Source organism: Homo sapiens, chromosome 19, assembly GCF_000001405.40.
Source record: "Homo sapiens chromosome 19, GRCh38.p14 Primary Assembly".
In the NCBI taxonomy this organism is placed as follows: domain Eukaryota; kingdom Metazoa; phylum Chordata; class Mammalia; order Primates; family Hominidae; genus Homo; species Homo sapiens.
Genome location: NC_000019.10, coordinates 49,833,041 through 49,861,006, shown reverse-complemented (window position 1 = coordinate 49,861,006; position 27,966 = coordinate 49,833,041). Strand labels below are relative to the sequence as shown.

Sequence of the window (27,966 nt, the reverse complement as noted above, 5' to 3'; positions counted from 1 at the left end):
GGCCCCCCGAGAGCCAGCTGGTGAGCCCACGAGCCTCAACCGAGGGGCTGGCTCAAGGCCAGGTGTGACCCCTGAGGACAAAATCCAGCTCAGGTTCTGTGACACTGAACTTGAACCCAAGGCCTGCGGGTCTGGAGATTCGGGGGGGAAGAGGGTGTGGACAGCCGAGAGCCAGACCCAGTGAGTTCCCGGGCTGTCCAGCCTGCTGGGCCACCTTAGAGCTAGGGGGCTGCAAGGCATCGGGCAGTGAGCAGAGAAGGCAGGCAGGTTTTTAAAAGGCTTTATTGGGGAAACGTAGAGGGGTGGGGACCGTCCTTGGAGGCCTCAGGACACCATCCTCCATGTTGCTGGGCAGTTGAAGTCCCCAGGGGCCCCTGCTCAGAAGCGTGTCACCTGGGGGCAGGGGTGCAGTGGGGGCTGCTGGCCACAGGCTCCCAAGCACTGACCCCACATCCCTGTGAGCAGAGGCCTGGCCCCACCCAGGCCTGGATACCACCTCCCATGGCCCTGAGGCTGGGCTGCAGTTTCCCGACAGCCTAGGACCGCTGGGACTGCTGCCTCTCCCTCTGCTCTGCTCTCCCCAAGGCCAAGGTCGCCCTGCTTCTTTCCCAACCCCACCCCCCCCACATGCCCCAGGGTCCCTCCTGTACATGACAGGGTCACCACTCACCAGTCTCTGCGGGGGCCTCATCTGTGACTCCTGGAGGGGCCCAGCCCGGGGTAACCACTACCCCCCCATCTACGGCGAGAAATCAGAGGCCAGTGGTGAGCAGGCAGCGGGGGTGGAGGGAGACTGAGCAGCCCTGGAGGCCGGCCACCTCACCCCTCGTTGCTGTTGCTCCTGCTCCAGGTTCCGCTGCAGGACCTGCTGCTGGTTGGCAATGACACGCCGGATGCCGTTGACAAAGTTGCCCTGGTCATGGGGGATGAGGCCAATGAAGATTTTCTTCTCTGAAGAGTACAGGAGCATAAGCACGCGGATCTCACACGATGCTTTGTAGGAAAAGTGCACGCAGCCGGCCTGGCAGGCACAGGGCGTGGTGTCACCAGACAGCACCACAGGGACCAGCATCCCTCCAACCACGGCATCATGCCGTGGGCTCCATGAGCCAGGCACAGCCTAACTGCTCTGTCCTCACACCCCCCACCCACCCTGGAGGTGGGCCCCCTTATTGGGATGACACGGTGGCCAAGAGCAATGGGTGGGCCAAAGGCCAACAGGCTCTGTCGGGAAGGGCCCAAGAACCTGCATTTCAGAGCTCCTGGGCAGGCCAGGCTGTGTCTGGGGCCACCTCACCACAGCCACCTGAGCCAACCGGCCATGGCTTCAACTCAGGAGCCCGAGGGATCTGCAGCGGCCGGCCCAGCACAAGCAAGGGCTGAGGTACATGGAGCCTTTCTGGGTTTCCTTGAGGAAACTTTTTTTTTTTTTTTGAGACTGAGTTTCGCTCTTGTCGCCCAGGCTGGAGTACAATGGCATGATCTCAGCTCACTGCAACCTCTGCCTCCCGGGTTCAAGCCATTCTTGTGACTCAGCCTCCTGAGTGGCCATCATGCCTGGCTAATTTTTGTATTTTTAGTAGAGACGGGGTTTCACCATGTTGGCCAGGCTGGTCTCAAACTCCTGACCTCAGGTGATCCACCCGCCTCGGCCTCCCAAAGTGCTGGGATTGCAGGCGTGAGCCACCGCACCCGGCCCCTGAGGGAATGCTTGAAATTGCTTTCATGTAAAAGCACCTACACCCAGGCCCCCCCCACCCACGAACAGCTTCGTGGACAGTTTACTCAGACTGAGTCGAAGGTAATTTTAAGGTAGTTTCGGGATATTACCCAAGTATGGCCCAGCTGGAAGGTGGACATCGGGGGGAGGGCTCAGAAACACCAAAGTCCAACCTTCTCCACCTCACAGATGGAGAAACTGAGCCCGAGAGAGAGAAGAGGAGTCAGCTGAGCCTCCCCCAGATAAGACAATCGCCAAATATTCTGGGACCTTGCTGGGGGCAGACAGCCCTCCCTGCCCAGCAATGGGCCTTTGGGATGTGGCACAAGCTCCCGGGAAACCAGGAGTGACAAGGGCGCCTGTCCCTGAGGAGTGGAGAGCGCGGAGTTGGTGCTGAGTCAGCCCTGATGTGGCAGAGGAGGAGCAGGCCCCCGCAGAACCAGGGTCAGTGCCCCATCCAGTGCCGTGGGGACAGCACAGAGCCCCCAGAAGTCACGCCCACACTAGCCACCCTCTCTCCCCAGCTGGTCTGGGACATGGTGCTCTGTTCCTCTCCCATGTCCGCCCCCGTGAGCGGTCCGGGCTCGCTCTGCCCTGGCCGGCCCCTCCCCTGCGTCTGCTGGCACCACTCACGAAGCCATTGTCCATGATCCGGCACAGGCTCTTCAGTGTCTCCAGGTCCTTGGTGAAGTGGAACTGGACCAGGCGCGAGTTCCGGAACAGCGGCACTAGGGTGGTCTGCGGGGAAGCGAGGGGACCCCCAGCTCTGGCTTCTCCCACCACGGCCTCCCGGCTCCCAGCCCGCTGAGTCCCCCGGGCCCAGGACCAAACTGAGACTCCCCTGTCCTCCCTACCTCAGGAAACGTCATCTCCACCGCTCAACCAGCCCAACCCTGGAGTGCTGTGGAAGCCGCTCTCAGATCCCTTGGCAGCCCCCCAGGTGCAGGTCGTGGCTGCCCCTGCCCCGCTCAGTCCCTGCACAGCCACCAGCTGGCTGCCTGGGACCCCTTGAAGCCAAGCCTGAGGAGCTACCCACCACACCTGCTTCAGCACCCTCAGCTCCGCTCCCTCACAGCCAGCTCAGGCCACCTGGGGAGGCGCTCTTGCCCCCAGCCCCGCCCTCTGGAAGAGCTACTGCGTGCAGGCTCCAGCACCCGGCCCCAGCCCCTCACCAGCAGCTGCTGCGGGATGAGCTGCATGTACAGCTTCCTTGGCCACTGCTCGGTCCTCCTGTGGGGCACAAAGGGACGAGGGTCAGGAAGCCCCAGCTCCCCTGGATGCTGCCTCCACCCCCCAGCCCAGCACTCACAGGATCTCCCCCTGGTTCACGTAGACGTGGGATGGCAGCCACCTCTTGGACCGACTGTTGGGCTCAGGCCTGGGCTTTTGGGGGAGAGGCAAAGAGGAGCCCTCAGGGCTGGAGACCCCCAATGCCAGTGTCCCCTCCCAGCCACAGTCCGTGAGGATCTGGGGGTCCCAAGTCCCTGGGCTGCCGAGTGCTCACCTCCTGCCACTCCATGACACCACTCCATGCCAGAAACTTGTTGTTGACGATCTGGACTGGGCCTGAGTTGACACCACCAGGTCCCACTGCCTGTTGGAAGGGAACGGGGTGGGAAGAGGGGCCCAGGCTCCTGGGAAACCTGTCTGTCTGTCCTGGGGCCTGCCATCCCTCCCTCCGAGCCTTGGCCTGTTAGCCCCAGCTGGGTCCATTCTCTAGTCCCAGGGGAACAGGCCCTGCCCCTCATCTGCTCACAGCCCCCCATGGCTCCCCAGTGGCCTGAGACAGGTCCCGGCCCTCACCTGGTGCACAGGACCTGCAGAGTCTGCCTCAACTGGCAAGGCATGACCAGGACACGTGGTTACCAGGCAGGGCCTTCCAGCCGCAGGACGATCCCAACCCCTGCCCAGCTCCCCGCTCCGCTGGCTTCCCTGCCGCCGCGCCAAGACCCACCCTCCAGCCCTGCAGAGCCGCCCAGTGGCCGCTTTTCCATGGAGCCCTGGTGGGAACCCGCCCGGCATCCTCCGGGCTCCCCTGCAGCTCCTTGCTCCAGCCATCGCATCACACTCCGCCCACACCAAGTCTGGCTGCCCAACCAGGGCAGTGGGGTCTAATCCCCCTCTGTCCCCAGAGGGGCTGTGCTTGGCTGGCACACCTGCTTGCGGGTGGTGATGACCTGCCGGATGGCACTGACGAAGCCGCTCTGGTCGTAGGGGATGAGGCCCATGAAGATCTTCTTCTTGGACGAGTACAGGAGCATGAGCACGCGCACCTCACAGGGGGAGATGTGGGGGAACAGCATGCAGCCCGCCTGCGGGGGCCGCGGGTCAGGACCCTGTGGTCACTGCCCGGGGCCACTGTGCCCCCACCACCCTGGACCGCCCCACCTGTAGGGGATGAAGGGAGATCATCGGTGGACAGAGGCCCCCACAGTCAAGGCCATGGCCATAGGTGAGGGGCCTCTGAGAGCCCGTGCAGCGCCCATCGGCATCCCCCGACCCTGCCATGGCTGAGGTCAGAGTGGCACCCGGCACCCAGGCTGCGGTGAGAATGCCAAGAAGGCACTACCTCCCACCCACATCACCCCCTGCCGCCAGCCCTCCTGACTGCCTGATGGGGTGACTTGGCCTGGGGGTTAAGAGCACAGGCAGCGCCCCACCGTTCTGCTGCCTCCTAGCTGTGTGACCTAACACCAGCCACCTCCTGCTTCTGGGCCTCCATCATCTGTAAAACCGGGTAATAGTGCACACAGTTGGTGCCACATAAAGGCTCAACAGATAAAGTGCTGGTGCCTCTTGAGGATGGCGCATGGGAGAACTAAGCCTGACAGATGTGCCTGGCTGTGGTGTCTAGATGAAGTGGTGTGACCGTCCCAAAACCCCATGTCCCCTCCCCACACCGGGCCACCCCCACAGTGCTGTCCCCTCCACGCTGCCGGCCTAACTTCTCAACCTTGGTGTCCAGCCCAGGGATCACCCGCTCAGGGCCCTGTCCCTGGCCTCCCTGGAGCCATGCACAGTCAGCCTCCCAGGGCCATGCCTGGGGGGTGAGTATGGATGTCCACTTTCCCTACAGACTGGGTACTCGGGGCCCAGATATGGCAGGCCCTCAACAAACGGTGCTGGGTGAAGGGGGAACGGGTCACTTAAGAGACCTCATGCCAGGCACAAGCCCTGGTCTGCCCCTGGTCTCCTGAGGGAGAAGGGAGGCCCTAGCGGAACCCAGGGCGCTCAACGGCAGCTGGGACGGGTAGAGGCAGACTGTCCCAACAGGGAACAGGGACTGGGAATGTCCCAGAGCCAGGTCCTCTGGGCAGACAACTCGCTCCCACCCCACCCCTGCCTCCTCTCCAGCACCTGCCATCTTTCACAGCCCAAGCCCCCTTTCTGACCTGCCCTGCGCCAGAATCTCAGTCACCTGAACAGCCTCACCAGCTGGGTTCACCCAGCACTCACTAGGTACTAAAGTCACCATCTCAAGCGCTTTACACAAATTCCCTCCCTCCAGCCTCCCGGTGGCCCTAGGAAGCACGGCTCCCCTGTCCTCCCTACCTCAGAAAATGTCATCTCTACCCCTCAACCAGCCCAACCCTGGAGTGCTGCGGAAGCCGCTCTCAGATCCCTTGGCAGCCCCCCGGGTCCAGGTCATGGCCGCGCCTGCCCCACTCAGTCCCTGCACAGCCACTGGCTGGATACCTGGGTCCCCTTGGAGCCAGGCCTGAGGACCTACTCACCGCGCCTGCTTCAGCACCCTCAGCTCTGCTCCCTCACGGCCAGCTCAGGCCACTCGGGGAGGTTAGCCCATTTTACAGACCAGAATACCAAGCCCCAACGTGCCACTCCCTCCTGGCTGGCTCTTGTGCCTAGCACACCCATTTACCAGGTCCCTGCCATACGCTATGTGTCCCCGACAGGCTCCTGGGCCCCAACAGGGCTGGCCCCAGTCCCTCCCTGCACTCACGCCCCCAGGGCCACCTCGAAGCTGGGCACAGATGCAGAAACTGGAGGCCTCTCAGGCTGAGTTCCTTCACCCTGTGCTCTACGGAGGGTGCCTGGAGTCAGTCATTTCCAGATGGGGTCCGAGAGGCCACGAGGGCTACCCTCGGCCCCAGGGGAGACCCCCCGACCCCCGCCTGGACTGTGTGAGCAGAGCGCTGCCTCCAGCTGTACTTGTCACCACAGTGCTACAAGGGAGCCCGCCCCACTCACGAAGCCGTTGCCCATGATGCGGCAGAGCCCCTTGAGCGAGTCGCAGTCTCTGTTGGTGAAGTGGAACTGTGCCAACTGGGAGTTCCGGAACAGGGGGCCCAGGGTGGTCTGGGGGCGACAGGACAGACAGCTGGGTCAGCCAGGCATGGGGGTGCTCAGAGTGGATGGGGTGGGAGGGGCGGGTCTCACCAGCAGCTGCTGAGGGATCAGCTGCATGATCAGCTTCTGCGGCCACTGGTCGGTCTCCCTATGGGAAGGAGCTGGTCAGAAAGGGCTGCCCTGATCCCCACGGCCACAGCCACTGCCCCTGCCACCGCCCTGGCTGCCACGCCCCGGCACTCACAGGTTCTCGCCTTGGTTCACGTAGGCTTGGCAGGGCAGGGTCCGCTTCAGCTTTGCAGTGGAGTCAGAGTAGGGTCTGCGCTTCTGTGGGGGCAGGAGGGGCGTCACTGTGCACAGCCTAGATGCCCTGGCCTGTCCCCGCAGGGACAAGACAAGACCCTGGAGGCCAGCCGCAGCCCCACAGAGACTCACCTCCTGCCACTCGAGGACGCCGCTCCAAGCCAGCAGCTTGTTGCTGAGCCGGTGCTCGCTCACGGCCAGACCCCCGAGGGTGAGCCCAGGTGAGGAGGGACCGATGGGACCCAGTGCCCCGAAGACCCGAGCACCTTCCTGCAATGGAGTGGGGGATAGGTGGGAAAACTGAGGCCGGGGCCTGCAAGGACAGGCAGTCCCCACACACCCCAGAGGGGACGTCCCAATATTCAGCCCCAAATCCCCTGCTGGAAGCCCACGGGGCCATGTCCAAACCCTCTGCTCACCCCTCAGGACCCCCACACGCTGGTCCTCATGTCCTTTCCCGCTGCCCACCCTCAGGACCCTTCCTTCCCAGAGCCTGCTGTCACCTTGACACTGGCCCAGCAGAGTCCTGAAGCCTTCAGCCAGCCCCACCTCCAGCCTTTGCCCCAGCTGTGCGCCTGATCGATTCTTGAGACCCAAGTTAGAAGCCAGCTGTAGGGGGCTTTCCCCGTGCCCCAGGCTGGGCCCAGGGCTTCCTTGCAGCCTCCACAGGCACAAGCCGGCTTGCGCTGTGTCTGTCCCACACACCAGCTTGCCCTGTCTTTCCCAGGCTGAAACTCTCCTAAAGCTCCCTGTCATCCCAAAGTTCAATTCCTTCCTCTGGCTCAGGCCAGTGCCCACCTCTCTGGCCTTATAAGTCTGACCCCGGGGGGAGGCAGGAAGGAGATGACAAGAAACACAGAGGGGACTAAACCATCCAGGAGAAAGACAGCGAGGAAAAGGGGGAAACATTTGGAAGACAGCTGGGACACCACCCCCAGAGGGGTCTCACAGACCAAAACATGTAGAACACCAAGAGAAAGTTCTAGCAATAAAGCCAAGCAACGCCACAAATGCTACTCACAGGCACTCTCCCCACTATTTTTATTACTATTTTTTTTTTGAGACAGAGTTTCACTCATTTCCCAGACTGGAGTGCAGTGGTGCGATCTCAGCTCACTGCAACCTCGCTCACTGCAAGCCGCGCCATCATGCCCGGCTAATTTTTTTTTTTTTTTTTTTTTTAGTAGAGATGGGGTTTCACCATGTTGGCCAGACTGGTCTCGAACTCCTGACCTCAAGTGATCCGCCCGCCTCGGCCTCCCAAAGTGCTGGGATTACAGACGAGGGCCACCAAGCCTGACCTCACTTATTGTTTTTTAAAACCAAAAACATCTCAAAGCAAACAAGGGAAAGCTCCGCAAACAGCCTGGCAGCAGGAAACCCACGAGAGTTTCCCCGTAATAGGCGCCTCCAGGCGGGGGAAAACAAATTATAAGGGTGATTTATTTTTATCTTATTACAAACAGGTATTTTCCAAATTTTCTATGAAGCACAAGGAGATCTTTCCTTCCAGAATACTAGCAAACACAAAAAATTTTATTTTGTGAGTGCTTAAAAAGAGAAAAACCTGAACAAACTTGCTCTCCACCCACGCAGGTGATTCTCCACCCACGCAGGTGATTCTTCACCCACGCAGGTGATTCTGACTTTTGGGCAGTCGTCAGAAGATCAGATAGAAAACCTGAGTATCTTGGCGTTAGAATGAGTTGGACAGAGAGTGGATGTTGCCCCGGGGGCTTCAGGCACCATACCGGACATCCAGCATCTGAGATGAGTTAAAACGCACAGCTGGAGGTGACTTTCGAGATGAGGGTACACTTACAACATACAAGTTGTTTATGGCGCTGGGACCTGAGGTATCTAGTCCGCATATACAGTGACACGTATGCATTTACTGCCACAAAGATGGGTAAAAGTCAGGAGAACGCACTTAAGAGCCCAAGCGACATACTTAATGTCTGCTTGTCTAGGAGAGCAGGTTGACTCAGGACTTCAAATATGCTGGGATCTGGAGCCATAGTAAAGAACACATATGCTTGCCTAAAACCCAGGGATACCTTCCACAGCAGGAGCAGCACATCAAGATGGGACGATCATATTTAAAAACGACGGTTAAGGTGCAACCTAAAGTAAATCTCACATCTTGGCAATCGTGTGCAAAACTGCGCGCCTGACATCCCTATTGCACAGGGAAGCCCATCTAGTACTTGCACTGAGGTTTAAAACCTTGGGGTGCATGTCTGAGGACCCGGAAAGCACTTTTGAACAACTAGATGCGAATGCTGCAGGAAGGGGCGAAGGCAGTGGAGTGAAGGGGTACGTTTAAGTTGTGGGAGGTGATCTAAGTCTCGGTATCCATGTTTATGACCCCAGGAAGCCTGTTTAAGGTTTCAGTAGGGCTGCCACAGCTCTGTGCCATCCACACCGCTGAGGCAGTGTATTTAAGAAGCGGACCCGAGCGCGAACCCAGGGGAAATCTCACATCGGGGCAAGCGTGTGCACGGTGCAAAGTCGCGATGTGCGGTTTTACAGCCCCAGGTAAACCTTACGGTTTCTGAAAAGCATGTGCATCTTTTGGGTCCGGAGAAGCGTGTGCAGCCCAAAGTACCTGCGAAGCTGAATGTTTACGTTTAAGGTCTGGGCTCACGGCAGTCCATCAAAGCATCCCACATGTGGGCGCGGGCGCGTATTCTAGGTGCGCACTCCACGGGCACGGAGCGGCCGCCAGGGGAGAACGCCCACGGGTGCGACATCTGGGGGCGCTGGTACAAAGCGCGGGCCCCTCCCTCGCCGCTGTCCCCCAAAACCGCCCCCATTTCCAGGTTTCCTGCCCGGAGAGCGAGCAACTCTCCAATAGGAAAAACAAGCGAGCGTGCCGGCTGCCTGTCTGCCGCCCCCAGCCCGCGTTTAAATCGGGCCGCGGAGTCAGCAGTAATATGAGCCCGCCCCGCCCCCGTCCCCCAACCCCCCACCCCGGCCCGAACGCGCAACAAAGGGGAGAGCGCGGCGCGAACCACCGGGTGCTCCACGGGGGAACCCGGCCCCGGGCGGGACCACCCTTCGGGCCACAGGGGACACCCCGGAGCGGCGGGGGCTGCGGACAAAGGCGTGAGCCCGGGATAGGGGCTGGGGGGGCGGGGCCGTGGAAGGCTCTGGAAAAAGGGCGGGGGGCTCACCATGGGAGGGGCCGAGCGGGCCCGGATCCGCGGAGGCTGCGGGCCTCGGGGGCTGGCAGGCCAGGAGCGCGAGCGGACGGCGCGCACCACGAGGGGCCGCGGAGGGCGGCCGCGACCCCCGAGGGGGCCCCCGGCGCCGGAGCGGTACGGGGCACGGCGCGGACGGACCATGGCGGGCGCGGGCCGAGCGGGCGGGGAGCTGCCGCGGGCCACAAGGGGGGCTGCGGGCTCCACCGACTGAGGGGCGCGGGCGCGGGCGCGCGGCTTCGGGGGAGACGGGCTGAGCCGTACCAAGCTCGGGGGACGCGCCGCCGGAGTGGGGTCGCCGCGGCCGAACCACTGAGGCGAGCGGGGGAGCCCGGCGCGTACCAAGCGCGTCCGAGGGGGCGTGGCCGGAGCGTACCAAGGCGGCGCGGGGGAGCGGGGCCCGGGCGGGAGCGGAGTGTGGGCTCGGCGGTCCTGCGGGCCTCTCCGGCGCGGGGGAGTCCTGGGAAGACGCGCGAGCCACAACTTCAGGGGGCGTGGCGGGAACGGGAGCCCCTACCGAATGGGGTGGCAGAAGAACGAAGGCGACACCAAGCTGGCCCCTTGCGGGGGTCGGGACGGCGGGAGACCTCATCCGGAGCCCTGGGCCCGCAGAGCCAGGAGACCGCGCCAAAATACATCAGGGAAGAGGGGAGGACGGAATAATGGGCCTGGGGACAAAGGAACCCACTGAAAGGGAACCCACTGAGGGTACGGATTGCACCCGAGCCTGAGACAGCTGAAGGTTTGCAGTCGGTGACGTGGCGAGGTGGGCAAGGGACTCCAACTCCCAGCGGGCCCCGCGCGGCCTGGGCGGGGCCAGCTGTCCCTGGAGGCTCCGCCCATTAGCCCCGGCGCCCAGGCTCCGCCCGCCGTCCCTGGCGACTCCAAGCTTCTCGCCACTCACGTCGCTCCCCGGCCTTCCGTGGATTCGCTCATTCGCTCTGCTAAAATGGAATGACTACTTACTAGTAGTTGTATAAGATTTTTCCCTCGATTTTTGTTCCTTAAACGTGGGTAATACCTAACCCTAGAGTGGTTATGGGGATCGAGCCCGAGGGGCTGTGCTTGACTGCTTGGCGCAGTCACTACTCAAATGTTAGCTTTTCTTTAAAAACAACAACAAAAATCTGTTATGAGTACCCTGTCCAGTTCTGTGCTCGGCGACGACCGAATCAGACCACGTCCCTCACAGGCCCCACGGTCCACTGGGGAGAGACATAATCACAGGCTGTGCTAAGTGTTAACTAGCGCACATCCACAGGGCGATGGGATATGACCATAGCGAGGTAAAGTTAGCAAGCAAGGGAAGTCAAGAAAACGACCTGTGAGCAACCTGCCATTCCAGATGGCTGGAAAAGTGTGCAAAGAGGACAGAACAGCAAAGACAAATCCTGAAAGTAGAAGGAATAAAAGGGAGCCAGTGTGGGCGGAGTCGAGTGAAGGTAGAGAGGAGAAATAGACACAGCTGTAGGAGGTTAGAGACGGAGTCCCTACTTCTGTTTCGGATGTTGACTAAACAATGTAGATAGATATTGATGTCATAGCCTGGAGAGAGAAATTCGGGAGTCATCAGTGTTTGAATGGAGACTGGATGAGCTCACAAAGAGACTGGGACACTCATCCCTTTAGCAGTCACGACAATGAGAAGCAACCAGCAAAGGACACGGAGGAGTGGCCAGTGAAATGGCAGAAGAACCCGTAGGCCTGTCCATGTTTTCCTGCCCAGGGGCTCCCGAGGGCTGACTGGAGCCCAGCCTTAAACCCCAAATCCAACCTGCATTGTGGCCAAACGGAGTCAGTGCTCCCTGAACACAAACTGCAAGTTAGTTATCAACAGGTACCTCCAATGCCCTGTCAATCACCCATGTGAGGACAACCTGGCAGCAGGAAGGAGAAAAAACAGGAGCTGCTTTAATCTCCCGGAATCCTCACTTCTCCCCATTCTTGTTGGTCCAAACCATCAAGATCTCTTGCCTGGGTGACGTCTCCTAACTCTTGCTGCCTTCTCTGTCACTACAATAATCAAAACCATCCAATGGCTTCCCAGTGCCTTTAGAATTAAATCCAAACTTGGTACTGTGGCCCCTGCTGCCGCCCCCCAAAAAATCTCTCTCCCATCCTTCCTGTTCTCTACCTGTTAATGCCTTCCCATCCCTCAGAACCCATCAGGACACACGTGAGTTTGAATGCCCTGAATTGTATAAGCATGGAGAGCGGTATACCAGGGTGTACTCCAGAGTGAGCAAAATGGGAACTCATGTCAGAAAGTGAAATGAAAATGTAGGCTGAAATTCTATCAGTAATACTGCAACAAAACTCTCTGAAACCATCTCACTTAACTCGGTCCACCAACTTGAAAGACACTTTCCTTTTCATCTGTGAAGCCCACTGCTGGGGCTAGCAGGCTACTATTATGACTAAGCAATTCCACTTCCATCTCTCAAGCTGTTTACTTCCTGAAAGGTAGCTGTTTGATCCAAACCTGTTTATGCCAGAAGTTCTTGTTTAATTTACTATCAAACTAATGAAATTAATGCAAGACAGTTGTTTATACACAAACCAGATTGCTTGCTTTGGAAAGACTAAAAGGGAGTTGTTAAAAGAAAAACATGCCAGGCGTGGTGGCTCACACCTGTAATTCTGCACTTTGGGAAGCCGAGGTGGGCAGATCACTTCAGGTCAGGAGTTCAAGACCAGTCTGGCCAACATGGTGAAACACCGTCTCCACTAAAAATACAAAAGTTAACCGGGCATGGTGGTGTATGCCTGTAGTCCCAGCTACTCTGGAGGCTAAGGCAGGAGAATCGATTGAACCCAGGGGGTGGAGGTTGCAGTGAGCTGAGATCTCACCACTGCAACTCCAGCCTGAGCAACAAAGCAAGACTCCATCTCTTAAAAAAAAAAAAATGCTGCCAAGTTAGGTACAAGTAAAGCAACTGTAAATTATTTAATGAAAAAGCTTATAAAAACCTAGGAAGACTCAGCCCCCAGTTTGTTTCATAAATGTCTTTAGGTTCTCAAGCCACTTAAAAAAATGACTCATTGTGGTTTGTGGGTGGAGCTTATACAAGAATGTGATGTTCTACTGGGCGCAGTGGCTCATGCCCGTAATCCCAACACATTGGGAGGCTGAGGTGGGAAGATTGCTTGAGCCCAGGAGCTCGAGACCAGCCTGGGCAACACAGTGAGACTCCCACCTCTACAAAAACAACAATAATTTTCTAGGCATGGTGGCATGCACCTGTGGTCCCAGCTACTCAGGAGGCTGAGGTGGGAGGATCTCTTGAGTCCAGGAGATTGAGGCTGTAGTGAGCCGTGTTCACACCACTGCACTTCAGTCCAAGTGACAAAGTGAGACCCTGTCTCAAAAACAAGAATGTAATGTCGTGTGCTAACTAGGAGACCAATACTGAAAGAAAGGGTCTTGGTCCTACGTACAAGAGATGTCTGTTTAAATGTTCTTGGTTAAAATAAGATGTTTAAAGTGTTAAGATGGCCGTTAGTGCTATTTGCCATATATTTCTAGCTCCACACTTGGCCAGCATTTGACCCCATTTAGCTTGAGTGCGGCCATGTGATTAATTTTGGCCAGTAAGGTGTGAGGCCATGTGATTACATCTGGCCAATGAGATATGAGCAGAAGTGACACATGTGAATTCAGCAAGAGCACATAATTGCTAATGGAAGACCAGACCCCTCTGCCTTTACTATGTCCATTGGCAACCTTCATGATCTGTCCGCACGGGCTCCAAGCTGACACTCAATACAGCACGAGTGACAAAATCCACCTTGGCTGTTTCAAGCCACTGCAATCTGGGGGTAATCTGGCCTTTCCTGATATACACAATTTTTTTTTCCCAAATAATCCCAGTTTAACCAACATTTGTTAAACCAATCAACTACCAAGTCTGAGTTTCCTAGAAGAACAAACTGGCAGTACATATAGGTTGGATGACATAGGCTAGGACACAATGACAACATGGACAAAGTGTTTTATACTGGCCGGGCACGGTGGCTCATGCCTGTAATCCTAGCACTTTGGGAGGCTGAGGCAGGTGGATCACCTGTTGTCAGGAGACCAGCCTGGCCAACCTGGTGAAACCCCATCTCTACTAAAAATACAAAAATTAGCCAGACGTGGTGGCAGGCGCCTGCAATCCCAGCTACTCAGGAATACAAATACAGTCTCCTGATTGATCCTCCAATTCAAGCAGGAGAATTGCTTAAACCCGGGGAGGCGGAGGTTGCAGTGAGCTGCACTCCAATCTGGGCGACAGAGCGACATTCTGTCTCAAAAAATGCTAATAGGCTGGGTGCGGTGGCTCACACCTGTAATCCCAGCACTTTGGGAGGCTGAGGCGGGCAAATCATGAGGTCAGGAGTTCAAGACCAGCCTGGCCAACATGGTGAAACCATGTCTGTACTAAAAATACAAAAAATTAGCTGGGCATGGTAGTGGGTGCCTGTAATCCCAGCTACTTGGGAAGCTGAGGCAGGAGAATCACTTGAACCCAGGAGGCGGAGGTTGCATTGAGCTGAGATTGTGCCACTGCACTCCAGCCCAGGTAACAGTGTGAGACTCCGTCTCAAAACAAACAAATAAAAAAGATAATAAAATGCTTTATGCTAAGAAATGGGAGTAAGATCATCTCTGGCTTGGATTTTTCTTTTCTTTCTTTGCAATTACAAAATAGTTTATGGCTGATTTTTTTTTTAAAGGTCTGCCTGATACATGCTTTGCAAACTCTAGGTATTTCAACTTTGTCATCATCGTGTGTGTCCAGACGCAGAGGCTCACACCTGTAGTTTCAACACTTTGGGAGGCTGAGGTTGGAGCATTGCTTGAGCCCAGGAGTTTGAGACCAGCCTGGGCAACATAGCAAGACCCCATCTCTACAACTATAAAACTAGCCAGGCGTGGTGTTACATGTCTCTAGTCCCAGCTACTCTGGAGGCTGAGGTAGGAGAATTACTTGAGGCCAGGAGTTCGAGACCAGCCTGAGCAACAGAGTAAAACTCTGTCTCTACAAAAAATACAAAAATTAGCTGGGCATGGTGGTGCGTGTCTGTAGTCCCAGCTACTCGACAAGTGGAGGTGGGAAGACTGCTTGACCCCTCTAGGCAGAGGCTGCAGTGAACCAAGGTCATGCCACTGCACTCCAGGGTTGACAGAGTGAGACCCCTGGCAATAATAGTAGTTAATATTTCTCAAGAACTTCATGTCTGAACTCACTGAATTCTCACACAGCAGGCCATGAGTTCAACAATCTTTTAATCCCCACTCCACAGATGGGGAAACCAAGGATCTGGAAGCAAAAGCCTGACGTCACAGGCTGCGGAGACACGGGACAGGGACAGGGCCCAGGTTCTTAATCTCAGTAGGTGTTGGCCTCCACTTTGTGGAATAAACAAGGGGCCAAGCCCCTCGGGCTTGGGACCGTCTTACCCTCGTCACTGCCGCGCTTCTCAGCCTCTCTGCCACCATCTGCCCTCCAGCACAGACCATGCTGAGTGTTCCCAGATTGTAAAAGACATACATCTGCCCTATCCCCAAACCCAGCGTCCTGGGTTTGAGATTACAGGCAGGAGCCACTGTGCCCAGCCCCCTGGGCTATTTTTAAAAATAAATAAAATGAAGGCTTTTTGTCCAAACTTCAAGATATGTTGTTAGATTGAAAAACAAACAAAAAAATGATAGAATAAAGGAGATTGCCACTGGATAGAAAAGCCAGAAAATCAATCAGTTTCTCTATTTGCTTGTACCTGCTTATACGTCTCTCTGAAAAGACACTTAAGCAATTGGTAACTGATCTCTAGAGGGAGCTGAGAGAGACTGCATTGGTTGGTTTCTGGAGCCCCTCCAAGTGTGAACCATAGGAAGGTTTCTCGTATATGCGAAACATGAATACAACATTTTTTGGGTCATGTAAATAAAGTTGGCATACTTAGTTTTGAAATTCTGCTGCTGGGAATGCATCCCATAGGAATGCCTGCACAAGTGGGTTAAAAAAATACACATTCATCCTCTCCAGCATGTCTGATAATAGTGAAAAACTGGCCGGGCGTGGTGGCTCACGCCTGTAATCCCAGCACTTTGGGAGCCCGAGGTGGGTGGATCACTTGAGGTCAGGAGTTCGAGACCAACCTGGGCAACATGGCAAAATCCCATCTCTACTAAAAATACAAATATTAGCTGGGTGTGGTGGTATGTGCCTGTAATCCCAGCTACTCGGGAGGCGGAGGCTGCAGTGAGCTGAGATCACACCAGTGCACTCCAGCCTGGGCAATAGAGCGAGACTCCATCTCAAAAAAAAAAAGAAGAAATAAAAGAAAAACTGGACAGGCCCTCAACTGGCAGGGTGCAGTGTGGTGGGCACCCTGAAAGACAGCCCCCATGACCCTCACCTCCTGTCTGCACTGTCCTCTCAGCTTGAGTGTGGGCAGAACCTAGCAACTTGTTGTAATGTACAGAATATAGCAAGAGTGACAAGATATCACTTCCAAGATTGGGTTACAAAAGACTGCAGCTTCCACCTTGGGCGTCCTCTCTCATTTCTGTTTTTCTTTTTTTTTGAGACAGTTTCACTCTTGCAGCCCAGACTGGTGTGCAATGGTGTGTTCTTGGCTCACTGCAACCTCCACCTCCTGGGTTCAAGCGATTCTCCTGCCTCAGCATTCCGAGTAGCTGGGATTTCCCAGATGCCTGCCACCACGCCCAGCTAATATTTTGTATTTTTAGTAGAGACAGGGTTTCACCATGTTGGCCAGGCTGGTCTCAAACTCCTGACCTCAGGTGATCCACCCGCCTTGACCTCCCAAAAGTGCTGGGATTACAGGCATGAGCCACCGCACCCAGCCCTTCTCATATTTCTAGAGAAGCTGGATGCCACATTGCAACTGCAAGGTGCCCTGTGAAGAGGCCTGCAACGGCGAGAAAACAAGGGAGACCTCCAGCCAACAGCTAGGAACTGAGGCTCTCGGCCCCATCACCTGTGAGGAACTGAATCCTGCCAACAGGCATGTGAGTGGGCTGGAAGTGGGCCCTCCTCACGGAGCCTTCCGATGACTGCACAGCCCCAGCCACCAGCTCGACCGCAACCCCGAGAGCCTGGGAGCCAGCAGCTCAGCCAAGCCTGGATTCTTGACCCCCAGCAACGGTGAGGCAATAAATGCTTCTTGTTTTAAGCCACTCGGTGGTGGGGTTTGTTACACAACAGATAACTTATAGGCAGGATGGCTCGTGGAACTGAAATGCGTCCATTTAGTGCACTACCTGAGGCCACCATGAGAAGTGGGGACATAGAGGAACAGGTAATTAACAGTGCAGGCAGGCCAGGTCGGTGGCTCACACCTGTAATCCCAGCATTTTGGGAGGCTGAGGTGGGCAGATCACCTGAGGTCAGGAGTTTGAAACCAGCCTGGCCAACATGGTGAAACCCCATCTCTACTAAAAATACAAAAATCAGCTGGGCATGGTGGTGGGCGCCTGTAATCCCAGCTACTCGGAAGGGTGACGCAGGAGAATCGCTTGAACCTGGGAAGTGGAGGTTGCAGTGAGTCGAGACTGCGCCACTGCATTCCAGCCTGGGCAACAGAGTGAGACTCCGTCTCAAAAAAAAAAAAAAAAAAAAAACCCGAAAAATTAGCCAGGCATGGTGGCTCCTGCCTGTAATCCCAGCTACTTGGGAGGCTGAGAATAGCTTGAACCTGGGAGGCAGAGGTTGCAGCGAGCTGAGATCACGCCACTGCACTCCAGCCTGGGCAACGGAGTGAGACTCTGTCTATAAATAAATAAATAAATAATGGCCATTACTTTGGTTGGAAGAAAAAAAAAAGCAAGCTAAAGAACAAAGAAATTGACTCACTTATACAAAAAAATTAAACTATAAATATATCCACAACCGCATGCATGTAAACCCAAATGCAGAACTGGTACATCAGCCTCTAGGGAGGTAAGTGGTTTGCTCAGGGTGTGTGTTTGGGCAGGAGAGGCGAGAGTGAGGTGTGATAGGGTAGTTCCACTTTTTGTTGTTGTTTTTGAGACAGAGTCTTGGTCTGTCTCCCAGGCTGGAGTCAGTGGCACAATCTCTGCTCACTGCAGCCTCTGCCTCCTGGGTTCTAGTGATTCTCGTGCCTCAGCCTTCTGGGTAGCTGGGATCACAGGCACATGCCACCATGCTGGCTAATTTTTGTATTTTTAGTAGAGATGGGGTTTCACCCTGTTGGCCAGGCTGGTCTCGAACTCCTGACCTCAGGTGATCTGCCCGCCTTGGCCTTCCAAAGTGCTGGGATTACAGGCGTGAGCCACCATGCCTGGTGGTACTTCCACTTTTTATTCCACACATTTCAGCGCCCTTTCATTTTGGGAAACTGTTGTAGTGTGTGTAACTCAATATATTTTAAAAGTTAATTTTTTTTAAATGCCAAGATGGTAAGAAAATACATGTTAGTGTTTTGTGTACCTTGAAACAAATATATTCTTAACACCCCTTTTGAGAAGGTGTCCTTTTTCTCATAATCCTTTGGAGGTGGGTGGGCATTTTCTTTCACCCCGAACAGGTTTCCAACTATTAATATGTTGGTGTTTTAGCATTTTTGCCTCAACAATCACTTTTTTCCAATTACGTCCTACCACCTGCTCCTTTGCAAGAATTTTCATGAATCCCCAGTCTTGCCTCCAGTCATGATGCATGATTCAAAAGCAAACTGGTCAAAAAGAAAATGTTTCCAACAAGTCACTCACTCAATTATAACCTTTCTGGACACAAGTGATTTTTGTAAGTTAGGATGCTTTTTTTTTTTGAGACAGAGTCTTGCTCTGTCACCCAGACTAGAGTGCGGTGGCACGATCTTGGCTCACTGCAACTTCCACCTCCGGGGTTCAAGCGATTCTTATGCCTCAGCCTCCCAAGTAACTGGGATTACAGGTGTGCGTAACCACAACTAAGTTTTGTATTTTTACTAGAGACAGGCTTTCACCGTGTTGGCCAGGCTAATCTCAAACTCCCAGCCTCAAGTGATCTGCCCGCCTCGGCCTCGCAAAGTGCTGGGATTACAGGCGTGAGCCACCACGCCCAGTCAGGATGCATTTTTTAAATAGAGATGGGGTCTCACCTTATTGGCCAGGCTGGTCCTGAAACCCTGGCCTCAAAGCGATTCTCCTACCTCGGCTTCCCAAAGTGCTGGGATCACAGGCGTGAGGTCCAGCTTGGCATGCATTTCTAGAAGCAGTTTTGCCCACCTTTTACCTTCTTAGAGTGCATTTCAGCCAAAAGATGACAACAGTGGCTACCAGCAGCTCTCCTGTGTCCAGGACTGAGCTGGGCCAGATCTTGTATTCCTTATGAGAATCCTCTGGGGTAGTCACTATTTGACATATGGAGAAAGTGAGGCTCAGAGACATGCAGGGACCTGCCCGAGGTCACAGAGCTAATCAGCGCAGAATCTTGGGATTAAACCCTGCTGTTCTAGGGTTTTCACTATTTCTTGCCTTAGGAGAACCTTGTATTCAGGGAAAAACTTTCCCAAAAGATTTGCTCTGTTGGTGTTGGCTGGTTCTAAGGGGCATGTGAAGTTCTTAGGCCTTATCGTCACCTGACCTATGAAATGGGGAGGTGAGTCCCATGTGCCTAGATCTGGCCTCATTCCTTGGGCCTCCTTTTTGGTTTTTTTTTTGTGGGTTTTTTTTTTTTTGAGATGGAGGTTTGCTCTTATTGCCCAGGATGGAGTGTAATGGCGCAATCTCGGCTCACTGCAACCTTTGCCTCCCGAGTTCAAGTGATTCTCCTGCCTCAGCCTCCCAAGTAGCTGGGATTACAGGCATGTGCCACCATGGCCAGCTAATTTTGTATTTTTAGTAAAGACAGAGTTTCACCATATTGGTCAGGCTAGTCTCCAACTCCCAACCTCAGGTGATCCGCCCGCCTCAGCCTCCCAAAGTGCTGGGATTACAGGCGTGAGCCACCGCGCCCAGCCTGGGCCTCCTTTTTATTCCACACATTTCAGTGGCCTTTCATTTTAGGAAACTGTTCTAGTGTGTGTAACTTAATACATTTTAAAAGTTAATTTTTTTTTAAATGCCAAGATGGTGAGAAAATATGTTAGTGTTTTGCGTACCTTGAAACAAATACATTCTTAACACCCCTTTTGAGGTGTCCTTTTTCTCCTAATTCCTCTTTGGAGCTGGTGGGTGGGCATTTTCTTTCACCCCTAACAGGTCTGCTACTATTAATAAGCAAGCCCCGGTTCACTCCTGTAAACCGTGTGATTAGGCCACGACAGTCCCTCTGGTTCCTCTAATTTGAGTGTTAAGGTCAAGAGGGCGCCACTGGCATGAGATGGCCAAACTGGCGACTGGAAACCTTTCCTTTTAACCAATTTGTTTCTGATCCAAACCTGCGTTTCCCTTGCCGGGGGACATGGCCACCCTGGTGGAAACACTGAAGGCTGCTTCCTGCTCCTCTCAGCGGCTTCTGACAGAGTCGATTGCTCCCTCCTCAAACACTCAGCTTCCAGAACGCCACACTTGCCTGGTTCTCCTGTCTTCTGGCTCCCTGCCCAACCCTTACGCGTGGCTCTTTCTCAGGGTTCTGTCCTTGTTCTCGAGTCTTCTCCTTCTTCCAGTCGCAAAATGGCGGCCTGGCGGCCTCATTAGACCCACAGGCAGATTTTGTTTGGTCCTCACAGTGTTTTTGTTTTCAATTTGAATGCCATTAGGCGGGGCAAGCACTCTCCAAGTTCGCCACAGTCCCCATCATTCCCTGTTGTCTTACACCCGTCCGCTTCACACATTTTCATCACCTGCCTGGTCCCTGAAGCCATCTGAGTTTTCAAAAACCCCTGCTACACAGGCTGCCTGGGAAATCACCCACTTGCACTTCTTCGCTGTCACCAGTGCCTCCTGCTCCACACTCACATTCCTGAGGATCGCCTAGAGAGCTTGCTCACACGACTCCCAGACCCCCGCCCTCCCCCCACTGGATCCAACAGTTCCAGGGCAGGGATCGGAAACTCACATGCCTACAGGGGCCAGGCGGGTCACATAAATGAGTGAACTAGCCAGGTATAAGAAAAGTCGACGGCCAGAAATATCATCAAATCGGATCTTTACTCAACTATGGTGAATGCATGGAACATAATACAAACATGGATGTTACTGGAGTTTATATTTTTAAATTCAAAATTGAAAAAATACAAATTGAAAAATAGAAATATTTAATTATTAAAATTTTCTCTTTCATAATTCTTTTTGCGCCTTTGAGTTGAAGCCAAAAGGCTGGCGTCTTCCCTTCCACACCGAGATGTCAGTGTCAGGCCTCGGGTGGCACGGTGGGGACGGGCAGTTTAGAATTCAGCCTTGAATCCTTCAACTGGGAACGATGTTTAATTTGATTCAGGTTCGTAACGGAAAACAGCTGTTCACAAGCGTGGGTACTCCCAAACACAGATATTCAGGACAACTACTGGAGATAGTTGTAGAATCTCACCATCTTCACACAGACTTGTATTTAGGAACCAGCGCCGTATTGCACTGTAGTTCAATTACTATTTATGGTCTGCATTCACACAAGAAACATCTGCCAACAAAGGCAAACTGGACAATGTCTGTTCCTTCTCATGAGTCTGGATTCCGAGAGCCTTTGGGGGAATTTGGTCTTCAACCCCAGGACGTAGGTGAATACAGTCCGGGCCACCTCTTTCATTTCTGAAAGCCGACTGCAGCACAGGAAAGAGTAAAGGTTTTTTTTCCTTGCCGGTGGATTCCCCAGGACCAAGCATACACCATCATACATTCAAGTAGCTGTTTGTGGACATCCTTGCGGAGAAATATTCAGTGTTCAGAACGGTCATAACCTTGACCAGAAGTCTTTGACTAACCTTCTCAGGGGAACCCACTGTGGCTTTTGCCTGATTTAAAATGAACCAAGTTGGTTAACTTGAACAGTTCAGATTTCTTCCACAACCAAGTCACAGAGCTTCTGTGAAATCTCTCAGGTCAAGTCACCATCAACTCACTCGTGACTGAAGTCCAGGAGCGGAAGTGTCGAGAGCATCGCGGTGTGTTCTGTTCAGTTGCTCAGAACAAGTCAACTCCTGATGATGGATGCAACGACCCAACTTCCGTGTCCTTGCCAAATGCTGTCGCCTTGGATCAAGGTGTCCTGCCAAGTCCCCCTGTCATGACGCTGTCTGTAGTTGTGCTTCGGAACTCTGGCCAGTCTATGTGAAACTTTTCTCTCAATATACAAAAAAAATTAGTCCTTTCCCAGTGTTGGGCCTGCCTTGGCACCATGCCACAGACTTCTTCGGTCACATCAAGATTCTTAACACCACAAATAAATAAAGCTAACTGGGTGGTAATAGTTTATGAGCAGCGAAAGAAAAGGCCACAATCAATTTGACTCTTTCAAGCAACTGGACTTGTAAATCCCCCGAGTTATCTCCAACTCACTGTGCAACGCAAATGCCCGTTAGACTTAAATAACGGTCTCAACAGTCATGTGTTTCTGTGCAGGACACGTCACTCTGCTCCTTTATAAACTTGCCATCTGCTGTAGCTCTGAATGCCCAGGTCATTCTTCTCACGTGATTCCGGAACGGCGTACCACTGCCGCGCCACTTCTGTTAATTCGCTTTTCAAAACAAACCCTATTGACATTTGAGTCCCTTTTTCAGTTCGTTGAGGATGGCATCTCGAGTCTGTTCTGTGTACTGGTCGTAGCTCTTACTATGCTTTGATTCATAGTGGCGTTTCAGGTTGTATTCTTTCAACACAGACACGATTTGTTTGCATATTAAACACATAGGCATGCTCTTCACTTCCACAAAGAAATAGGCTCGCTCCCATTTTTCTCGAAACACACGGCCCTCTCCTTCTCTCTTTCGTTTTGCCGCTTGTGATAGAGACATGGGTACAAGAAAGATTTCACTTTCCTCTGAATGCTACCACAGAACAACCACAGTGCAAACCCCGTGACAAAGGCAGTGACTCTCTGCCTCACAGGGAAGCCAAGAGGGAGTGGTGGGGACTGTGGCGAACCAGAAAGCACACGCCCCATGGAGAGGGGCAGCTCCAGCCCATTGTTGCCAGGCAGAAGGGCGGGCCCAGGGGTGCCAATTCTTCTGACTTGTCAAAAGAAGCCAAGACTGCAGATTTTGTGTGTGTGCGTGTGTGTGTGTGAATTAACCTGATTTTTACAACTAACTCGTAAGAAAAAAATGCCACATATGCTAACACAGGGAAGGCCAAACAAAACTCATCCGCACGATGGCCCATAGGCCACCAGATTGCAATCTCTCTCCTGGGGTGGGGCCCGTGAATCTGTACGTTAACCAGCATGCAAAATGATGTGGATGCTGGTGGTCCAGGCATGGACCGCGCTCTCAGCAACACTGGTCCAGAGTCCAACAACAGACAACTCACTCACCACCTCCAGGAGAGACCACCCTGCGCTCCAAGCCTGTCTGGATCCCCCTGCCCTCGGGACGTCTCTGAGGACATCCTTCAGGTCCCTCACCTTGCCACGTCCCAAACCTGTTCCCTGCTGGGTATTCTATCCTGGGGACAGACCCACCGTCTTCCCCATCCACAGCCCTGGAAGGTCAGTCTCTGACATGGACCCAGGGACTGCCCTCTCTCCATGTGCGATCTTGTCTGCTTCTGTGGCTTGAACTGCCAAACATACACTGTCCCCTAAGGACACGTCCTGAGCTCCCAACATGGCACCTGTCACCTGGATGTCCCTTGGACCACCTGCACTTACTACCAGCTCCTTCTCCCAGGAGCCCCACCACCTACCATCACGTAGGCCTGGCCCCCGGGAGCGAACCTCTACCCCAGCCCCCGACACCGCCACCACCCAGCCTCACCTTTCCTGGCCTCCTGTCTGGCCTCATCACGCTCTACAGCTGAGAGGGGTCTTTCTGACATCCAGAGCTGGCCTAGGCCCGCCCCACTGCTCAAAGCCTCCTGGTTCTCCTGTGTCCCCAGGACAAACCATGGGCTGCTCAGTTTGGAATCCGAGCTCCTCAAACTCTGCACCTGCCCATCTCTCTAGCTCCCTACATGCTCATGCTCCAAAAGCATCCATCAACTTGCTCCTCTCAATGTCTCAGGCTTCCTCCTGCCTTTGAGTATTCAAAGTTTCTGTTGTCCTCTGCACCCAGATCACCCCTCACCTCCTTCCCTCCCAGCCTGACGGCTGATTCTCTTTCAAGACTCTGAGGAGCTGGGGCTGGGTCAGATGCCTCTTCCAGGCTCCCATGGTGCCCCTGCCACCTCCATGAGAGCTTGAGTCCTGAGCGCTGCCTGCCTGTCCCTGCATCTCCCACGAATCAGGTTGCACCAGACTGCCTGTGACTCACCACGGAGGCCCCAGCGTCATTCACCCAGGGCCCCAGGGATGTCTGCTGAAGTGAGAACAAGGACAGAGATGCCCCCTGGGGTTTCCTCCTGCCCAGTCCTGAGGGATGTCAGTGACGGGAGCCGGGGCGTGTGTTAAAAAGGAACTTTATTGGGTGTTGGGGATTCAGATGAGATCCATGAGGATGTCGTCCTCCATGACGCTGGGCTGCAGGCCCGGCTGGGGGACCGGGCCCCGGGGACCCCCGCTCAGCAGCATCTGACCTGAGGGGCAGTGGGGAAGGGACTGCATCTCCCAGTAGGCCCTTGGGCCCAGGAGGGCCCAGAGGCACTAAGTTTTCTAGGCAGCCCTTGGGGGACCCAACAGAAGCACCTTCTGGCCCCATCTAGTTACAAATATGCTGTTTCCCATGAGCCTTTGGGGGCCCTTCTCCAAAACTACTTCTCTGGCCCTAAGACCACATTTCCCAGCAATCCCAGGAGCACACACAGGAGGATCATGGGAAACGCTCTTAACCCACTAGGTCCTTGGACCCATGGGCTGTACTTTCCCGGAGCCCTCAGAGCTCCGCAAAGGCCATGGGGGAACCCTCATTCTTGGATCCTATGTCTTTACTTCCCAGGAGCACTCGGTCTTGGTGCTCTAGCCCAGGAGCTGCTGGGACACTCAGTCCAGACCTCTGCCCTCCCCCGGGTCCCCTTACCTGGCAGTGGAGCCCGAGGGGGAAGTTGTGCGGGCCAGGACTGGGCAGGTGGTGGATGCAGGAGTGGGGGCCCCAACTGGGGCTGCCCCAGGCCCTGGTGCGGCGGAGGCAGCAGCGCAGGAGCCCCTGGTGGCTGGAGGTGGTGGAGGGAGGCCTGGGGTGGGGGCACCCCAGTCTGCGGCTGGGAGAACACAGAGAGTGGCTCAGAGGCTCCTGGTAGAGACTCCCCACCTCTCAACACAGACACTGCTCAGAGATGGAATCAGCTAGTGGTGAGGGGAAGTTTTTCTTCAAAGGTGGGGGATGGACGGAGAGGAGGCGGTCTGCCTTCTGCCTAAAGCCCTGGGCGGGTCCCCATTCACACCCACTGACCACAGTCAACCTCCCTCCTCCCAGACAACAGGACCAGAACCACCAGGGCCAGGATCTGGAACTCTCGCTACCCCACCCCAACATCTCACCGGTGGTGGGTTGAGGAGGAGGCTTCGCAGCTGAGGGTTGGCCCCAGGGTTCTGGGGCCGAAGGATGGGTCCAGGAGGGGGTGGGCCAGAAGCTGCTCCAGGAGGGCCTTGAGGGGCACCTGGCGGGGGCTGGGCAGTACCTTGGGGCTGGGGCTGCCCCGTGGCCCCAGAGGCCCCTACGGTACCCTGAGGCTGGGGCTGCGGTGGGCGGAGCTGGAGCTGGTGGGAAGAGACACAGGGGTGAGGGAGATGGGCAGGGCCTCACGCCCCTTCTGCAGGCACAGAGCGCAGCCTTGGGGCCTCCCCAACCCAGCCCCGACCCCGCCAGCCCTGTCCTCACCAGATTCTGTGAGGGCCTGGCTTGGTCCTCCAGAATGGGCCCCAGCCCTGGGGGTGCCTGCTGTCCCCCCATCTGCACGGGGAGAGAGGGGCAGGTCAGTAACTGAGGGTGGTGGCATCCTGAATCTGAGGCGGGAGGGCCTGTGCCCTGAGGGGAACTAGTAAGGAGATGGGGACATTCTCTTTGGGGGTGAGTGGTCTGGGAGGGATGCCGTACACTCCAAGGTCTCCAGGAGGAAGCTGTGTCAGGGCTTTGATGTGGATGCTGAAAAAGGAGAGAGACTGCAAGAAAATCTGAGTGGGACTTAGCTTGGAGGCACCACATATTGGGAGAAGGGTGGGCATCTTGGTCCTGGAGACCCCAGGGGGCCATGTGGGGCCCGGGCAGGAGGGGGTCGGAGTGCTGGTTTGGGGACTGTCAACACTCACTCCTCGCTGCTGCTGCTCCAGCTTCTGCTGCTGGACCTGCTTGTGGTTGGTGATGACCTGCCGGATGCCGTTGACGAAGCCGCTCTGGTCGTAGGGGATGAGGCCCATGAAGATCTTCTTCTTGGACGAGTACAGGAGCATGAGCACGCGCACCTCACAGGGCGCCGTGTGGGGGAAGTGCACGCAGCCCGCCTGGGTGGACAACAGCTCTTCAGAACCATTCAGGCCCTGAAAGAGGCAGCCCTGACCCCCTCCCCATTCCAGAAGGCTCTAGAGGCCCCACAGGCAAGGTGAGGTGAGGTTTCTGCTATAGAAGGTTAAGGAGAACAGGTGTGCTATGGGTTGCTCTGGAGACAGAAACTGAGGCGCTCAGGGCAAGCTAGGGTTCCAGCTGCCCACTGAGAGGGAAAGCGGAGAGAAAGTGCTGGAGCCCAGCTCTTCAACCTTCAGCCACCACCTGCTCCTCATGGACCCAGTTTCTTGGGCATAAAATGCCACGGCGGCCTCCTCAGAGGGCGGCTGAGGGTCACGGCCGGGAGAGCGGCCTAGATGCACAGCGTGGTACCCACAGGCCTGTGATCAACGGTGGGTCGGACCCCGGGTATCCAAGAGATCCTCCAGCCCTCAGCACCGGCCAGTGTACACCACGGGGAGTGCTCCCACATCACAGGGTCGCTGTGACTATGCGATGTCTGATCCACAGCAAGAGCCCTGCCTGAGGCTCAGCCCACAGGAAGCACCCAGGAAACATCACTGGTCATCAGGGGGGTAACACATGGAGCATTCAGGGCAGGGGCTCCTGAGGGAGGCGAGGCTGACCTTGGCCAAGTGAATTGACTTCTCTGAGCCTCGGTTTCCTGCCTGAGACAGACCCTGCTAGCTGCCTATTCCATATCCAAGTGTCCTCCTCCCCTGCATTCCCAATGCTGTCTGGGGCTGTAACATGTCCCAGCCCCAGACAGTCACGGATACCTGCTCCCAGCAGCCTCCCATCAACTAGGGGCTGCCCAGTGGCCTAGGTCCGGGATAGGAGGTGAAAGGAATGCCTGCTCTGGAATCTGAGAAAGTTTCTGCTGTCTTGAAGAAAGGGAAACACACAGCCCCCTTCCCCTCCTTCATGAAAGCACACAGGATGCGTGGAGCCATGAGAGCTACCTTGTGACTATAAAGGAGAGGCCAAGAGAACCACAGGGCCCTGTCCCTGATGTCACAGACCTATGAAACCAATCCCAATAGCTGGCCCCCTCTAGATGTCCTGTCCTGTGCAAAATATAAATGCCTGCTCCTACAACGCCTGCCCTCTCAGAACCCAGCTGCCACAGTGTGGCCACGTGGACAGGCCATGTGCAGACACTGGGATGGCCGGTCCTAGCCAAGCCCCAGCCAACAGCCAGGGCTGTGTGAGGAGCTGTTTTGAACATCCAGCCCAGTAAAGGTTTCAGATGACCAGAGTCTCAGCTGCCATCTGATGGCAACCCCGTGAGAGTCGCCAAGCGAGATGGCCCACTGAGCCCAGGTGACCCACAGAATCATAAGAGAACATTTTTTCCGAGTGCCCCCAATTATCTATGTGTTTGGGAAACTACGTGATTTGCAGCCGGAAGTACTAACTCTCAGGAATGCCTTCTTCACAAGGTTCTGTGAGGGTCTCGTGAGGTGATCCCCCTAAGGTTCTCTTTCCTGCAGGAGTGCCTGGTGCACGGAAGTAACTGATCTGCTCCTTCCCCGAGTTACAAAGTGTGAACTGTGACTCCCAGAAAGCTATGCTGAGGCTGGGCGCGGTGGCTCACACCGGTAATCCTAGCACTTTGGGAGGCCGAGGCAGGCAGATCACTTGAGGTCAGAAGTTCGAGACCAACCTGGCCAACATGGTGAAACCCTGTCTCTACTAAAAAATACAGAAATTAGCTGGGCATAGTGGCACATGCCTGTAATCCCAGCTACTTGGGAGGCTGAGGCAGGAGAATCGCTTGAACCCAGGAGACGGAAGTTGCTGTGAGCCAAGATTGCACCACTGCACTCCAGCCTGGCTGACAACAGTGAAACTCTGTCTCAAAAAACAAAACCAGAAAGCTAAGCTGAGGTTCCAGTCCCCAGCACCTGTGAAGGTGACTCTATCTGGAAAGAGGGTCTTTGC

General features: G+C 55.1%; 2 protein-coding genes, 2 long non-coding RNA genes and 1 other non-coding gene across 16 annotated transcripts in view, besides 9 other annotated features; 2 read left to right on the top strand and 3 right to left on the bottom strand.

Moving 5' to 3' along the window:
- Positions 265-10,302, bottom strand: PTOV1 (PTOV1 extended AT-hook containing adaptor protein). Of its 11 annotated transcripts, none has more exons than NR_130963.2 (13): positions 10,052-10,302; positions 6,464-6,601; positions 6,273-6,355; positions 6,119-6,176; positions 5,930-6,037; positions 3,877-4,032; positions 3,225-3,314; positions 3,030-3,098; positions 2,893-2,950; positions 2,354-2,458; positions 824-1,021; positions 671-739; positions 265-393 (listed from the first exon to the last, which is right to left on the bottom strand). NR_130963.2 is itself a non-coding variant. In NM_001364749.2 (13 exons), the coding sequence occupies exons 1-12, from the start codon at positions 10,124-10,126 to the stop codon at positions 728-730; spliced, it is 1,296 nt and encodes a 431-aa protein (NP_001351678.1). In that variant the 5' UTR covers positions 10,127-10,302; the 3' UTR covers positions 265-441; positions 671-727. The 11 variants fall into 11 exon arrangements, 10 of the variants coding, with proteins under 10 accessions (NP_001351678.1, NP_001351676.1, NP_001351674.1 ...); NM_001364749.2 differs by having other exon boundaries at positions 265-441; positions 3,030-3,103; positions 9,911-10,302; NM_001364747.2 differs by having other exon boundaries at positions 3,030-3,103; positions 9,911-10,302.
- Positions 1,718-4,542, top strand: PTOV1-AS2 (PTOV1 antisense RNA 2). Its single transcript, NR_110730.1, has 5 exons — positions 1,718-1,801; positions 1,910-2,164; positions 2,381-2,453; positions 2,580-2,660; positions 3,935-4,542. It is a non-coding gene; the product is annotated as a PTOV1 antisense RNA 2 (long non-coding RNA).
- Positions 4,685-4,734: an enhancer, noted in NCBI's record as "active region_14963". NCBI's record gives its function as "activates an Ori minimal core promoter by ATAC-STARR-seq in GM12878 lymphoblastoid cells {active_cell/tissue: GM12878}" and the evidence as "EXISTENCE:reporter gene assay evidence [ECO:0000049][PMID:35858748]".
- Positions 4,765-4,824: an enhancer, noted in NCBI's record as "active region_14962". NCBI's record gives its function as "activates an Ori minimal core promoter by ATAC-STARR-seq in GM12878 lymphoblastoid cells {active_cell/tissue: GM12878}" and the evidence as "EXISTENCE:reporter gene assay evidence [ECO:0000049][PMID:35858748]".
- MIR4749 (microRNA 4749) lies at positions 6,356-6,416 on the bottom strand. Its single transcript, NR_039904.2, has one exon. It is a non-coding gene; the product is annotated as a microRNA 4749 (primary transcript).
- Positions 7,009-7,068: an enhancer, noted in NCBI's record as "active region_14961". NCBI's record gives its function as "activates an Ori minimal core promoter by ATAC-STARR-seq in GM12878 lymphoblastoid cells {active_cell/tissue: GM12878}" and the evidence as "EXISTENCE:reporter gene assay evidence [ECO:0000049][PMID:35858748]".
- On the top strand, positions 9,331-22,362 carry PTOV1-AS1 (PTOV1 antisense RNA 1). Its single transcript, NR_040037.1, has 4 exons — positions 9,331-9,439; positions 14,254-14,284; positions 16,115-16,691; positions 20,931-22,362. It is a non-coding gene; the product is annotated as a PTOV1 antisense RNA 1 (long non-coding RNA).
- Positions 9,650-9,939: a silencer, noted in NCBI's record as "silent region_10939". NCBI's record gives its function as "represses an Ori minimal core promoter by ATAC-STARR-seq in GM12878 lymphoblastoid cells {active_cell/tissue: GM12878}" and the evidence as "EXISTENCE:reporter gene assay evidence [ECO:0000049][PMID:35858748]".
- Positions 10,040-10,149: an enhancer, noted in NCBI's record as "active region_14960". NCBI's record gives its function as "activates an Ori minimal core promoter by ATAC-STARR-seq in GM12878 lymphoblastoid cells {active_cell/tissue: GM12878}" and the evidence as "EXISTENCE:reporter gene assay evidence [ECO:0000049][PMID:35858748]".
- Positions 10,380-10,459: a silencer, noted in NCBI's record as "silent region_10938". NCBI's record gives its function as "represses an Ori minimal core promoter by ATAC-STARR-seq in GM12878 lymphoblastoid cells {active_cell/tissue: GM12878}" and the evidence as "EXISTENCE:reporter gene assay evidence [ECO:0000049][PMID:35858748]".
- Positions 11,951-12,030: an enhancer, noted in NCBI's record as "active region_14959". NCBI's record gives its function as "activates an Ori minimal core promoter by ATAC-STARR-seq in GM12878 lymphoblastoid cells {active_cell/tissue: GM12878}" and the evidence as "EXISTENCE:reporter gene assay evidence [ECO:0000049][PMID:35858748]".
- Positions 20,623-27,966, bottom strand: part of MED25 (mediator complex subunit 25) — a 22,096-nt gene continuing 14,752 nt past the window's right edge. Inside the window, exons 14-18 of one of the 2 annotated variants that reach the window (NM_001378355.1) lie at positions 25,830-26,021; positions 25,402-25,473; positions 25,062-25,280; positions 24,601-24,781; positions 20,623-22,427 (exon numbers count right to left, since the gene is read on the bottom strand). In NM_001378355.1, the coding sequence (NP_001365284.1) occupies positions 22,183-22,427; positions 24,601-24,781; positions 25,062-25,280; positions 25,402-25,473; positions 25,830-26,021 (909 nt within the window). In that variant the 3' untranslated portion in view covers positions 20,623-22,182. Of the gene's footprint in view, positions 22,428-24,027; positions 24,161-24,600; positions 24,782-25,061; positions 25,281-25,401; positions 25,474-25,829; positions 26,022-27,966 lie in introns of those variants that run through there. The other variant, NM_030973.4, reaches the window with a different exon arrangement.
- Positions 25,447-25,947: an enhancer, noted in NCBI's record as "H3K4me1 hESC enhancer chr19:50338317-50338817 (GRCh37/hg19 assembly coordinates)". NCBI's record gives its function as "activates a minimal SCP1, AML or CMV promoter by ChIP-STARR-seq in primed H9 embryonic stem cells {active_cell/tissue: H9 hESC(primed)}" and the evidence as "EXISTENCE:reporter gene assay evidence [ECO:0000049][PMID:30033119]".
- Positions 25,948-26,448: an enhancer, noted in NCBI's record as "H3K4me1 hESC enhancer chr19:50337816-50338316 (GRCh37/hg19 assembly coordinates)". NCBI's record gives its function as "activates a minimal SCP1, AML or CMV promoter by ChIP-STARR-seq in primed H9 embryonic stem cells {active_cell/tissue: H9 hESC(primed)}" and the evidence as "EXISTENCE:reporter gene assay evidence [ECO:0000049][PMID:30033119]".